General features: G+C 35.1%; 1 long non-coding RNA gene across 1 annotated transcript in view; it reads left to right on the top strand.

Moving 5' to 3' along the window:
* The first annotated feature begins 376 nt into the window (after positions 1–376).
* DAOA-AS1 (DAOA antisense RNA 1) overlaps positions 377–14,962 on the top strand; it is a 46,627-nt gene continuing 32,041 nt past the window's right edge. Inside the window, exons 1-3 of the long non-coding RNA NR_040247.1 lie at positions 377–476; positions 13,881–13,998; positions 14,907–14,951. This is a non-coding gene — a long non-coding RNA (DAOA antisense RNA 1). The remainder of the gene's footprint in view (positions 477–13,880; positions 13,999–14,906; positions 14,952–14,962) is intronic.

Genomic DNA, 14,962 nt, shown 5'->3' with positions numbered 1-14,962 from the left:
TATATTTTAATATATGCCCGTGATGGATAATACTGAGTGTCCACTTGATTGGATTGAAGGATGCAAAGTATTGATGCTGTTGTGTCTTTGAAGGTGTTGCCAAAGGAGATTTGAGTCAGTGGGCTGGAATGGCAGACACACCCTTTATCTGGGTGGGCAGCAACTAAATCAGCTACCAGCTCGGCCGGGATATAAAGAAGGCAGAAAATCATGATGGTTAAGCAAACTAAATATGGCCTGAGAAGGACTCTGTACTTCTATAGGTGAGTCCTTGTGGATGAACTGTAACCTAGCTTAATAGTCAGACAAAATTTAAAACCTAATTTAATAGTATGCACTGTAACAATGGCTGAATGTTGCCCAGTCCCAGTGGGATTCAACCACTCATAGACTGCTTTTGTTCAAACTGCGTTCAAATAAGGCAAACGCCGAGCTGGAACCAATCTCACTGTTTCTGTACCTCGCTTCTAATTCCTGTACGTCACTTTACCTTTTTTGTCTATAAATTTATTCTGACCACAAGGCACCCCTGGAGCCTCTGTGAGTCTGCTGTGGTTCTGGGGACTGCCGGATTCGCGAATCGTTCATTTCTCAGTTAAACTCCTTTAAATTAATTCAGCTGAAGTTTTTCTTTTATCAATGAAAAGACTAGACTGGCTTAGCCTTCCAGCCCGCACCTTTCTCCCATGCTGGATGCTTCCTGCCCTTGAATATCAGACTCCAAGTTCTTCAGTTTTGGGACTCAGACTGGCTTCCTTGCTCCTCAGCTTGCAGATGCCCTATTGTGGGGTCTTGTGTTCGTGTGAGTTAATACTTAATACCCTCTCCTTTATATATACATCCTATTAGTTCTGTCCCTCTAGAGAACCCTGACTAATACAATGTCTCCATTGAAAAGAAAAGAAAATCTATTAATAAACTGATATAGTCAGAGCCCCTCAAGAAAAATACCAAAGAAACTCCAATGTTGTAGAGAATTATTTTATTGCTCTAAAGACATCAAAATAATTACATGCCTTGTTTACGATGCTTTTAAGTTGATCACATTCAAAGATGTGTCCTATCCATTCATGTACATACATTCAATTTCATATTGACTCTTGCCTTTTTCAGCAGTGATCAGTAAAAATTATCTAAAAATCAATCCTGAAGGTTATACTTTATTTTTCCATTTTGAACCTTGCCCTTGAAAGATCATTTATATATTTTAAACACATTTTTAAAAATGAATCTCCAGAAGTCTAATTTCTCATGCTAACCAAATTAGAGAGGTTAATTCGATGACGAACTCTTAGAAACAATCATCATTAGAACTTGGGTATTATTTCAAACGCATCTCTCTTCCAAATCTTAGCAGTTGAAACAATTTCACAGGTTAAACCAGCCAGCTTGACAGCCCGTGAATGGCTACTCACTAAAGGGTCCAAGCAGAGGCAAAATGATGGTCCTATCTCTTAAAGACAGAGCAACAGAATATTTGGAATTAAATAGAACTGGACTTAAATCTCATCCCAGTGGACAACTGGGAAAACTTGGAAACATTAATCCTGCTGAATATTTGTGCATCATTTAATAACTAATACATACTGAATTAAGTAGTTAGCAGGATTTACAACACTGTGTATAAGGAGCCTGGCATGTGTTTCCTGATCTTTGGTGTTTTTAGAGTTAATATTATGACAGTGTGTAAACTTGGTGTCGAGAATTAAAATTTGCTTAACAGTTCTAGTGTTCTGTACACTGTTACCTATGTTCATCGCCTCCAACTCATTGAGGCTCATGATGCTAAGGTGAATTCTGGATTGAAATCTAGGTCTGTCTGCTTATAGGGCCTTTTTCCAACTTCAGGGTTTCCTGCTTTTGCTCAATTGATCCTTTCAAGGCTCCATCACGTTTGAGCTACAGCAAATCATGGTGTCCACTGTTCACTGATGGGCTATGTTCCAGAAGTTGCAAGAAAAGTAAAGGGGGATAAAAGAAGAGAGAGAGAGAAGACCCATAAATATTCTGAAGTATATGACTAATCTAGTATAATGGAAGCTCAGAAAATAAATTGTATTTCCAAATATATATTTCTGAATTTTTTGGTATTTGTTATTGGTATTCTCTGAAGGGCCACTTTCTTTTCTTTCTAATGCTCTATGTCCTTACAAAGGAATGACTATTAATTCACTGGAATAAGAATCACACTAATTGGCACACAGTCCCAATCTGCTTGGCATGTCATTTAATGTGCAGCCATTTACCTGGTCAAGTGAATACTTGAAAATTAAACAGTTTTCTTGCGCTATGATTGATGGCAATGCAGTCTAGGGTTAAGTCTTAAACGTAATCCCTTATAGGATTTCCTAGGTTCTCCCTCAGAGTTTCTAACTCCATAGATTTGGGGGTGGGTCCCAGAATTTCCATTTCTAACACGTTCCCAGGCGATGCTGAAGCTTCTGGTCCAGGTACCACACTTTGAATACTGCTGTTTTAATGCTTACATGGGGTAGCATGAGTTAGTTTTGCCTGGGGCTTTTAATTCCAAGTTCTGCTACTTAACAGCTGTGTTATAATGATTAAGTTATGTGATGTCTCTGTAGCTTGATTTCTTTGTATAATGAGGAAAATAATCATACCCTTTTACATAAGATTATTGTGAGAATTTAATAAACAAGAAATTTCTTATAATGCCTGGTACATAGTAATCACTCAATAAGTTATGTCAATTGTCAAAGCACATGTCTGAATTATAGATGAGAGAGAAATATTGTGAATTCTATGGCACTTTAATGGCCTGTTCTCTCTACCCATCTCTAGCCGTACCTTACACTGGCTTATCCTGTGCTCTTCCTTTCCTGAGGGAACCCAACCACATATACTGCCTAAAGCACTCTTTTGGCACTTCTAACATAGGTGCAAGGAGGAAATTTCAAGAAATTATGACAAACTACAAGACTCAAATCTCCTTTTAAATTTTAAAAATCAAAACATGTATTCATATCCCATGGCACATATGGATGAAGATATTGTTTTTCTCAGTTAATATTTTAGTTTTGCTTTTGTGCCAGAGCCTTCCTTTTTTTTTGTAAATGTCCTTTATCAGGCTACTGCAGAATTGCACAAATACTGAATTGCCCCAAAATATTTGCCTTTAATTTGTTTCTTTAAAGCAAATGTAAAACTACAATGGGTTATATTTACCTAGAGGTTTTATCACCATACGCTTAATTTAAACTCATATAAAAATAGAATTAGTTATATTTAGTCTTATTTTCATCATTCACTTAATTTAATATAATTCTTAGTCCATAACTTAGATATAACAAAAATTTGTATTTTTTCTATCCTCCATTTGCCCTAAATCTCCTTAAACAAAACAAAACCCAAGGAAACATTTTTGCCTGGAAAACGTGAAGTTTGATTAGTTCCACCTACCTTAATGCACTTTAATTTGGGCCCCTTCTCCTCGGTAGTCTAGAATATAAACTTTTTTTTTTTTTTTTTTTAAGAGATCTGTTTGGAAAACCTACCAAAACAAGACAAACTCAATGATTTCCTTACAGAGAGAAGCCTGGGGAAAGAATTAGCAGGAATTTCTCAACGGGTGCCGCTGCTACTAGTTTTTTATGCATGAGTGCTTGTCATTTGGCAGAAATCAATTGTTCTCTTTACACCACAAGAGTGGTGGAAATGGGGGTAAAACTGCAAGTTAAGACTGCTCTGAATGTGGATTCAACACTTCACTGTTGTCCTCCAACATGCGCCCTCAAAGTACCACTTGGCTGGGAATTAAAAAGGGTTGCCTTTAGCAAAGCTTTAATTTAAAATAGTCACAGGTGACAGCGCTATTATTTTTGCACGTTCAGATGCAGCCACAGCTGTTTTTATTGATCTCAGCTGCATACACACCCATTTGTTGTAATTATTAGTTTCTGATGTAGCTGAAGATACATATCTCGAATGCCTATCAAGGCTAAATTAAATTAAGGAAATCGTACTTTTCACCTTCACCCTCTTTGGTCCTGCTTTGCTGCAGGAAATTGCCACAATGTAAAACTTTGAGCCTCATTTCATCTCCCCCCACTAGGAGTGATTTCCAAAGTTGTCCTAGGTTCCTGATCTATTCCAATTTAATAGTTACTGACATTTTTTCCCTGTATATTTAACACACTACAAGCAATTACCATGTGGCAATTATGAATTTAAAAATTAAAAAAAACACAATTATTGCTACTACTGATTAAACATTGTTAGGACTTTGAAGAATAAAAAAGTGAATTCAACCTGCCCTCGGCTTTCTAAAAATTGCCTTTTTGCTCTTAAAAATGCATGTACAGCTTTTTTCATATAAAAATAATTTCGAGTTTCTTCTATACGCATAAAATATTTTCAGCTATTTTTGATTTCAGGAAGTATGAAAAATTAAGTATACACAAAAGAATTGCGGCATGACCCGTTCGAACTCTGTCTCAGTGACAGACAGTTTTGGATTGTAGACCTCACTTTGTTTTGCGTATTTCTGTTTGTTGTTTCACCTGTGGTCCATTCACTGTATTTGATGTGTTGCAAAACAATGGCATAACGGCGTTCCCACCAGTAATGTAAGAAGAAACATGGAGGAAGCAAGTAAGGGTCTAGGAAATTTGGGAGAGAGGAAAAGAGACATAATTAATGAGGAGAGGGATCAAGAAGATTGGCAGGATTTTTAGAAGGGAATTTGATTTGCAAGGTACCCAGAACATGGCACACAAAATTGTAAGAAAAACAAATTTTTCTTGAACATTTATATAAAGATTCCTTTGGGAAAATAGAACAAATTTGGTTGTAGAGTGGTCTGGGGTTGATTTTAAATTGGAAAAACACAGTTTTGTTTTTTTTTAATTTGAAATAAGAGCTGATATGCAATATTGTAGGGGAGTTGGTTGACTTTTTAGTCAGAATAGTGGCTTTTACAACCATGGTGACAACATTAACTGTGGATCCTCTTGACGTCTTCATAAGTTCATTAATGCTGGGGGAAAATATGCATAGCAACTAATCTACCAATATTTGAGAGAATTAGGCAACCTCTCAAGAATGTAGGAAAGAAATGTAAGTCAACAAGCTTATACAATGTAAAAACCATGAATAGGCAGGTAATAAATAATAGAAATTGATTTTTTCTGTCCAGTAAAGACCATGAAAAGAGAAATATTATAATTTTAACTTGAGTGCTCTAGAATACTGGGTTTGTTTTTTTAATTGATTAATATGATTTTAAAAAATTATCATGAATTTAAAAATATTTTCTCCATTACTTTGAGTTATCACTTTAAACATAGGTAATATCAAGATATGTTTCTGAATTATATATTTAATTATGACCACTAAAGAGCACCCATGAAATGGAAGTGTTAACAGCAATGTTCTGTTGTAGGAAGATAATCATATTGGTTATGTCTGCTTTATAGTAAAGTTATTGTTGATTGATTTGCCTTTTCCTAACTTAAGTCTTTTTGGTCTTTTCTTCTATTTGTTCTGAGAGACCCTGTTCAAAGGGACATTTTATTTTCCTTTGTACAACAGTATTTGCCTGACATTTACTCTCCTCTAATAAATAATATTAAACTCTAGTCCTAATACATTTACTTACCTAAGGAAATCGGCCTTCTGATGGACCCCCGGAGGTGAGATACATTTCTGGATGAGGATCTGTTGAGAAGTTGAGCATTTGTTCAGCTACTAAGTCACTGCCACCACCTCGTTAGCTAAACATACTCTGTGCTCATTCCTTCATCAGTAAATTTTGGTTGGGACACATGACAGGTGATAATAGAGGTTATTAGCTGCAATGCTTATTAAAATATTTGAAGATATACTTTAGCACATTTTAATAATTATTGAGACTGTCCCTTAGTAACAGTAGCTCTTCTAAATGAAAGCTTTTAAAATTGCATGTAAGTCAAAACAAAGCATTATTTGTTATTCAACTTTATATAAAAGCTGTCCAGTGATTTCAAATATGTACTAACATTTAATTTCAATTCAAAATAAGTATTTTTATGTTTTTATAAAGTGATTAAATCACTTTATTGAATTCTATCCCTTTATAAATGAATAAAGGAATGAACTCAAGTTGTTTCTATTCTATTAGCCTTTACTTTTCCCTTCCCCCAATTAACCCCAAGCAAAAATGTATTGACTTTGACCTGAGAAGAGATACGTCAATTTTGTTATTTATTTTGCCTCTACTCCTATTTCCCATACATATATGGGACATATATATCAGCACAAATTAGCAGGCCCACCAATTTCTTACTCTTGGATCCAGTCTGATCTTCTAACTCGTGAAATAAACTACCATGCAGCACGGATGATCATTCAAATTACAGCTTAGGGTTGATCATAATGTCTTCATTTTAGTATCCCCTTTAGGTTGACATTATTTATTAAAAAGGTAGTTTTCAATCGGATTTATGGGGCATTATCGATAGTAAGTCTACTTGATACATTGCACATACCTTTCTTCTGCCAAAAAGAAGTGTTTACAAAAATGTATTTGACCAAATACTTTACGGTAAACATCACGGTCTGAAAGGGAACTATCTTCTTTGAAAGGATTAAAGCCTCCAGATAGATACAAATAAGATTTTTTTAAAGTAGACACATGTTAAATCATGGAACAGCAAAGGGGATACTTTATGGAAATGAATTCACAAGATAATAATTTGAATTTGACAAGGTGATAATTAAAGTCCCCAGATAGATTTCTTCCACATCTGTATGCCTTTCAGTAAAGTTGGTTAGCATATTAACTACTGCTGGAGAATACAGAAAATATTCATGGGATGTAAAACTGCAAATTATTATTCATTTCAATTTGTATAATAAGTGTAACAAAATGCAGTGCATACAGTGTTACACAAGAGGTACCAAACTCCATTATAGACATTTTTAGAGCAAACGTGGGATCCTTATATGACAATTTTTGTCTTCAAATATTCAAGACATTTAAGTATGAATTACCACTTTTTGCAATTTAAAAGAAATTTTGTTTATCTTCAATGCTTTCTAGGGCTAACAAATTCTTACTTCAAATGACTAGAATCATTTTTAAATATTATGTACTAGGATATGTGGATATGAACATATATATTTATACACAAATATATGTACACAGCCAAATAAACAAATAATTAGTGTAATCTATATGTATTAATATTGTTATATTTTCCTCCAGAGAAAAATTGAGGTTTGCTGACCAGAGAAGAAGAAAGCATCAATGTGTGATTAAAAAAAAAATGTATATATATATATATATCCACTACATTTCTAATTTGAAATAGTGATCCTGCATACTAATTCTCTTATTCATAATTGAGTTTCATAGTACATTCATTTTAATTTAGACATTTATATGAGAAAGCATGTTTAATATGATGATAAGAAACTGTATGAAATTTTGGGAAAGAACTGTTAAGTGTGCCCACACACTGTAGGCACTGAATGTCACACTTGAGAATGTCCCTGGTCCTAGCTTATCTATAACAGGAATATTTTCCATCATATGGAATTTAAAGATAAGAAATGAATCACCACGCAGAGAGATGTGCTATCACATCCCATCTATGGAAAAAACAAATGAAAAAAAAAAAAAACATGAAGAAAGACTTTTTGAAGTGCAGCATCACCTGCATTTATGATATTTTCAGACATATAAAACAAATATTATTCTCATGGTTTTGAATAAAATTGTCACTTTTAAAATTTGACATGGGATATCACAATGGACAATGCAGGGACCCTTCAGCCCATAGTCAACAGGTGATCAATTGTGAAAACTGATATTCTCTATTAGGAAGGTTAGCTAGAGTAGGAGATAAAAAACAACATGATTACAAAAAGGAGGATCATTTGAGACCAACTTTAATGTGAAATTGTGTAGAAATGGGGGAAAAGATACAGAAAACATCTTCACAAGTCCACTTGAGAAACTAAGTTGGTGCAAAAGTTATTGCACTAATTACTTTTGCACCAACCTAATTGTAAGTTATGCTTGAAGAAACTTAAAAGGAGAGACGGAGAGAGTACACAACTATAAAAGCAAGTGGAACAAGAAGTGAAAATGACCAAAGAACATATTTGTTGAACATGGCCATTTTGACAATCAAGGGAGAATAGTAATTTAAAGTACAATGCCACAATCTGGAGAAGACTGCTCTTGCACACAAGTGAAAGCTCTCATCGGTCCTGTCTGATGCAAATTACAGGTACATTGCTGCACAGGTGTCAGATCGCACATAGCTGGGCTGGCACTGCCTCTCCTCTGGAGAGGAATGCAGCACATTCTCCACAGGCGACTGGAAAGTCTGGATTCTGTCATCTAGAAATACACCTTAGTTATCCCCTTGGCAAATTAATGGGAAAACAACCTCTTCACTTCTGTGTTTTAGAATTTCTGTTTTATGCCTTTTCATTGTTTCATGCAATTTTATTTTTTCACGAGGTCAGGCACAGCTAACTGTTGATTTTCACCAAATTACCTTGTTATTGGCTTGGCTCCATGGAGCAGCCCCTTCCAAGAAAGTTTCCCAAGAAACTATGTACTTCTTCTACTTGGACTCAGCTGTGTACCTATTTCTCTCGTCAGCCATTAGAGTGTTCCACTAATATAGTCAAAGCAGAACATCTGGCCTATTATATAAATGAATATTAGTTTTGAAGAAGATATCTTTGGAGACAGTAGAACAAAATGGATTTTTTTTCCTACACAGGAACTCTTGGTTTTTCCTCACTGCCCATTGTCATTTTTTCTACCTTACTCAGAACATGATTTTCCCTCAACTGCACCTTTCTGTAACTTTGACCTGTGCCATCCTTGTGAAATAAGTGATATGTGATTTATTTTAGTTTCTCCTTCTAAGTGAACATGCAGAGTCCTTCAGAGACCATCTGTGCCTCCTGCTGAGTCTCTGTGTTTTCTACCCGGGCTAGCTTCCTCCAGAGCCCAGTCTCAGGTAGATCTGAACCACACATGGAGGAGATTTTAAGAACAAGTCTTGTGACACTTCCTATGCTTTGGGTCCAAAAACTATTGATTTTCTTATTTCCCTGCAAGTGTGTCAGATTCTGGCAAAACTAGCTTGGAGTTTACTGAGTTTAATGATACTGAATGACATCAGGACTCACTCTTCTCTTTTCATTTTTTTGCTATGAGTGGGAAAAAATATAACTGTATAAGCAATGTACTTTTTTTCTTAACGCAATTTAATCTTTACTAAAATTAATTTTGATAATCATATATGTACAAAGTGTTTAATTTTGTTACTTTTTAATTCTTAGACATTGACTTTTAAAAATCTTAATCGTTGCTATTTTCACCCCTGACTTTATGCCCAGTGTCTATATGCATAAACACAAATCTTTCTACTCCTATCTGTTTAGCAAAATGTAAATAAAATGTCTTTAATTTATTTCAATTTTGTGTATTTTTTTTAAATTTACTTGCCTGGGTTGAGCATCTTTTAGTATATATTTCATTGTGTTTTACTGAAAATTTGACTTAAGACTCAGTGTATTACTGTCAAACTCTCCCGTCATGACTATCTCAGGTAGCTGAGGTATCACTGACAGCATAAGGAGCGACAAACCCTCGGGTAATGCAAATTGGCATATCCGACAACCCCAAGCTAACAAGATCATAACCAGGGACTTGCAAACATGTTTTTAGGACATAAACTCGTCTTAAGGTTTTACTTAAAGTAGCATCCATCTCATCTTTAACCAGCCTCTCCTAATCTTTGCAGAATTGTCCATTCTAATGCAGTCTTTCTTCATTCTTTCACCCGTGGCTCCATTAAATGTTTTTCTGCAGGTAGCCTCTCCACTGGAGTAACTGGACTGAGGATGGACTCCTTTCTTAAGAAATCCAGAAAAGCAACAAAAATCTTTCCAGTTACTACTGGAAAATTTCTGCAGTCATCATACATGTATCATTAGGTTCTCACCTACCATTCCTAGATTCTATCTATCTATTTACCTCTGAGGTTTCTTAGATTAGCCAAACACTTTTGCAGCTCTCGTATTTGCATTGTAGGGCCTTGGCTGAGACTAGATCTCCCAATATTTGGATATATTGAGGACTGGAAGTAAAGAAACACTGCCACTTCACACCTATGGAAATACTACCTTTTTCCATAGAGGCAGCTTGAATACATGATTAGGAATTCACTGTGACTTTGGTTTAGAGGAAAAAAAACAAAATGGGTTATTTGGTTATATAGAGAAGGAAGGAAGGAAGGAAGGAAGAAAGGAAGGAAGGAAGGAAGGAAGAGAAAGATCCTTTCTTTTTCCCCCCAGGAACATGGCAGTTTGAGAAAATCGGGAATAAAACATGTCTTATAATTTGTTAAATATTGTAAAATACTTTCCTTATTGTTAGTAGAATTCCATCTTGGCAGACTATTTCTTCTAGGAAACCATTTACCCTTCTCCCCTTCTCTGGGCACTGCATTTCTCTTTCTGGTAAGAAATCTGTCAAAGGCACTTCACCAGGAATCTGGCTCTTATAAAATGCAATAAAACTGCAGGCAATGGGGAAATGACCATTACTGAAACTCCTTTGGAGAGGGCTTAGCTTATGAAGTTTTTGAGCAGTTCTACCTGATGACCAGCTTACTATGCTCATCTTTACTTCCTCCTGTAACAGGATGACTGACACGTCTCCTCTTTGTCATGTGACCTTGCAGAGCCTTCAGGAATTTATGTCGACTGCACATTTTCCTTGGCCAGTGGCTCTGGTCTTGGCCATTGACTTGCATCAGTCAACAGAAATGTTGCAGACCTAACATGAGCAGAGGCTCTAAGTAAACGTGTGTGATTTGGATTGGCCTCCTGTGCTTCTGCCATTTGTCGGAGCAACATTATTCATGCCGCCACAGGTCCCCAAATGAGAAGATGCATGCAGCTGATCTAGACTTAAGCTATAGCCTAGAATCACATCCAGCCCATCCCAACAGACCCAGAGTGAGCCGAAATCTTCCCAGCAGTTTCAAGAGCAGGGAATGGCTGTTGTTGCAAGCCTTTGGGTTTCCTGGTTATGTATAAAGCAGCATTACTCACTAAAAACTTCATAAATACAAAGCTTTCTGCATGAGTTTCTATTCTGTGCCCTGCAAGCTTTTATTAAAGGCATGTAGAGTGAAAGTCTGATTTTACCTGAATTTTAGGAGGTCAGGGCCAAGGCTGGATGCAGCCTAGCAGTTGTGCTGTGCCATGGGAAGGGACAGCATGTGCCCCCAAAAAAAGTCAGAACAAAAAAACCCACAAAGTTTGAGTGTGGAAAAGTGCTACAGGCTTCTGGAATCAGTTGGCTCACTGAAGTTCAAGCAGCAACTATGAAAAAGTTGTGGGACATATTAGCATTTTATAGGGATTCTTAGAAATACCTAGGGAGAGAAACCCCATAAAAGGCTAGATTTTCTGCCATAATACACAAAGGGACACAGGCTATTGGTATTTAGGCATTAAAGGGAAGTTTGACCCACCCCTGAAGGCTGAATAAGTGTGAGACACCTGGTTTATATTTATATAAATTTTTGCACAGGACAAATTCAACCTTCTAAGCACAATGCAAAGTAGCATATCCAATCTATTAAGCACCATGCCTCTTAACTCATAATAAATAGCATATAGCAATCCTGCCACAGGCGCTAACATTTATTGAGTTTTTCTACTGACTAGGCTGCGCCAAAATATTTTTCAGGTTTTAACTCATTTACTGATTCATGAGATAAATTATTTTACTATCTTGATTAAACAACTAAGTAAAGTTTTGTTTAGAAGAGTTTAGTAGTTACACCAAAATCCAGCAGAAGAAAATGACTGTAATTTCCTATATAACAATCCTTTGATAGTTTTTCTTTATCCCTTCTCCTTACATCTGTGACTAACACATTATACTTCCTTAAAATAAGGTGGGAGCCAGCATTTATAAAATATATGCATATAGAGAAAACTAACACATACATTAAGGAGAGGTGGAGAAAAAAAGAAAGATCATATATAATCATTTATTTTTATGTCCATTTATGTAATTTATCTATGTATATAAATGACTTACAATAAAAATGAGTGTATTCCTAGAAATAATAGACAACAGGGAATTGTATTCTTGGGGTGAAGTCTACAATGGATAGATGGAATAGTTGTATGAATAACATTTTTGAGTATATTAGCTTATCTTCAAAATGTGCTTGGTCTTGTCATTTAGATTATATTATATCCATGTATATAAAGAATAATGATATTAATATACTCTTACTGCTAAATTTATACATTACTAAAAATAAAAAGTGTCATATATTTGAGCCTGAGGACTTATTTGAAAGTCTTACATGAAGAATATTAGAAACATAGGGATTACGTATCTTGAGGATGAAATCTGTATAATTTCTACTTCAGCAAATCTTGAAAAGCACTCTGATATGTCATCTATTGCCTAATAATGCTGATCATACGGAAACTGGATCAACTTGCAAACTGGATCAACTTGCAAACTAATATTACATGTAGTAATATTAGTTTACTTCAATTATCTTTCCTAACTCTCACCTTGAAAGTACTCCACTCATTAAACTATGCATATACATATATATATATATATATATATAGAGAGAGAGAGAGAGAGAGAGACAGGATCTAGCTTTGTCACCCAGGCTGAAGTACAGTGGCACAACCTTGGCTCACTGAAACATCCGCCTCCTGGGTTCAAGCAATTCTTCTGCCTCATCCTCCCCAGTAGCTCAGATTACAGGCATGTGACACCACACCAGGCTAATTTTTTGTATTTTTAGTAGAGACGGGGTTTCACCATGTTGGCCACGCTTGTCTTGAACTATGGAACTCAAGTGAACCGGCCTCCTCGGCCTCCCAAAGTGCTGAGATTACAGGCATGAGCCATGGTGCCCGGACTATTCTTGTATTTTGGGTGTCTTTTTTTTTTTTTTTGAGTAGTCATACAGAATTATAAAGTGATTCACACCCTCTTATTCTAAATGTGTTCAGTCTAAATGCAAAAGTTTTAGTATAAATTAATTCTGTATATTTTTATTTAATTTTAAGAGTGGAGAGATATTAGCTAATAAAATTAGCTTTGGAAATAAAAAGAACAGATACGGTTATAGTTCCTTTCCCCAAATGTTTTAAACTTACAAAAGCAATTAAGAAGCAGTATCACAAGATTTAAAGTTTTTAAGGATATTATTTTGTTCCCTAATAGACTACACACCGTCAATAGTTAAAGTTCACTAAAAATCCAGAAGTTGCCACATTAGGCTGAACTCACATTTATTATTTCTGTTATTAGCTTAACTTATATTTATTATAGGAGGGATGACTTCTTTTTACAATCATTTAATATGACAAATAATATATTACATTTTGATTTAATGACAACTTTGTGCTTTATCTAAAAGGTAGCATTATTTTTGTGTGTGAATTAATCTATGTTCCAATAAAACTTCCAACATAAGTAAGGCTCTGTATGTATGTTATGTTCTTTCTATATCTCTGGATTATATGGATTTACATACTTGTATGCCAGTACATATGTACATATGTTTAAGTATAATATACATGTCTGAGTATAATATATACATTCTTACTGTACAAACTATGCATATGCATATCCATATTGCATGCAGCTATGTAGATAGACTCTGACAGCATAGAAAAATTTTAAACTTAAGCAAAGTTGAATAGCTCTCAAGTACTGATATATGTATGTGTCCAATATTATGATTCCACCATTGCTAATGCACACAAAAAAAACTACCAATTTATTTTTCTTATATAATTATATCTCTGATAAAATTATTGTTTATTCAGAAACCTAATATCGACCATTAATGTTCCAGTTTCAGAAAACAAAAACTCCTAAGAGAATGAATAGAAATTTTCTTAAGGAATTATAAAGAACCATCTCAGAATTTTACTCTGTTACTGCAAAATCTCATGCAAAGATAACCAAGTACGGTATGTGAACGTCTCTTCTTCTAAAGCTCATGAAACTGCTCTCTGATTCCTCTAGCGTTGACAGAGAATCTGGAGTTCAGTACTCCATTTCATTCCTGGACATTTAGCCCATTATTCTTGTATCCATATTTCATATTTTCCTTTCATGGGGGATAATTGTAAGTTAAAGGTGAATTTGTTGACTCAAACCTTATAAGGAATCATAGATCAACCTAAAGATTTCCTAAAAATATACCTACATATTGAATACTTGCTTTGTCTAAGCTGCTTAACAACAACAGAAAAAAACAAGCAAACAAAAACTCAAAAACAAAACCAAACCAAATGAAAACCTGATGGCCCAAACTTGTAAAGTGTATTTTCTTGGTTAATTATTTAAATAACAAATATGAGGAAGAAAGGCATTCTAGTGAATCTGCTTTAAATTACATAGGAGAGAGTCTTATGTAAACTAATGATAATGAATATGTTCGGAGGGTTTGTATGTGGAGGGCTTTGTGTTAAGCACTGTGAATACTTTGTTCCATTTAAACGCCACCTTAGACTCTACAAAGCTGAGAGAGATTATGACAGTTGACCAAGATTACACAATGAGAAAGTAAGAGATAGAAGTGGAACTTGATCACAGGAAGTCACTTCTAAAGACTCAACATTTGACCCTGGTCTCTAACGCATTGATTTTGAGCCCAGCAGCATGTGAATTTATTCCTATCAGGATAAATGAAATGCAAGTAACTTATTTAACTTGAGTCTCAGATACATCCAAATAAAAATAAATGCCCTCATTTATAGCATCACATTCTCAGTACTAAGTAAGCTATCTATAATGATACAATTCCATTGAGGCAGAAGACTTCACTTCATATCTACACGACATTTCATTCTTTCTTTCTATTTGTTTTTTCTAGAAGAATTAACTGAAATTCATCCCAAGATGAGGCATCTTGGCTGAGGTGAGATATGC

The sequence above is a fragment of the Homo sapiens genome, chromosome 13 (assembly GCF_000001405.40).
Source record: "Homo sapiens chromosome 13, GRCh38.p14 Primary Assembly".
Classification (NCBI taxonomy): domain Eukaryota; kingdom Metazoa; phylum Chordata; class Mammalia; order Primates; family Hominidae; genus Homo; species Homo sapiens.
This window is presented reverse-complemented; position numbering and strand designations above follow the sequence as displayed.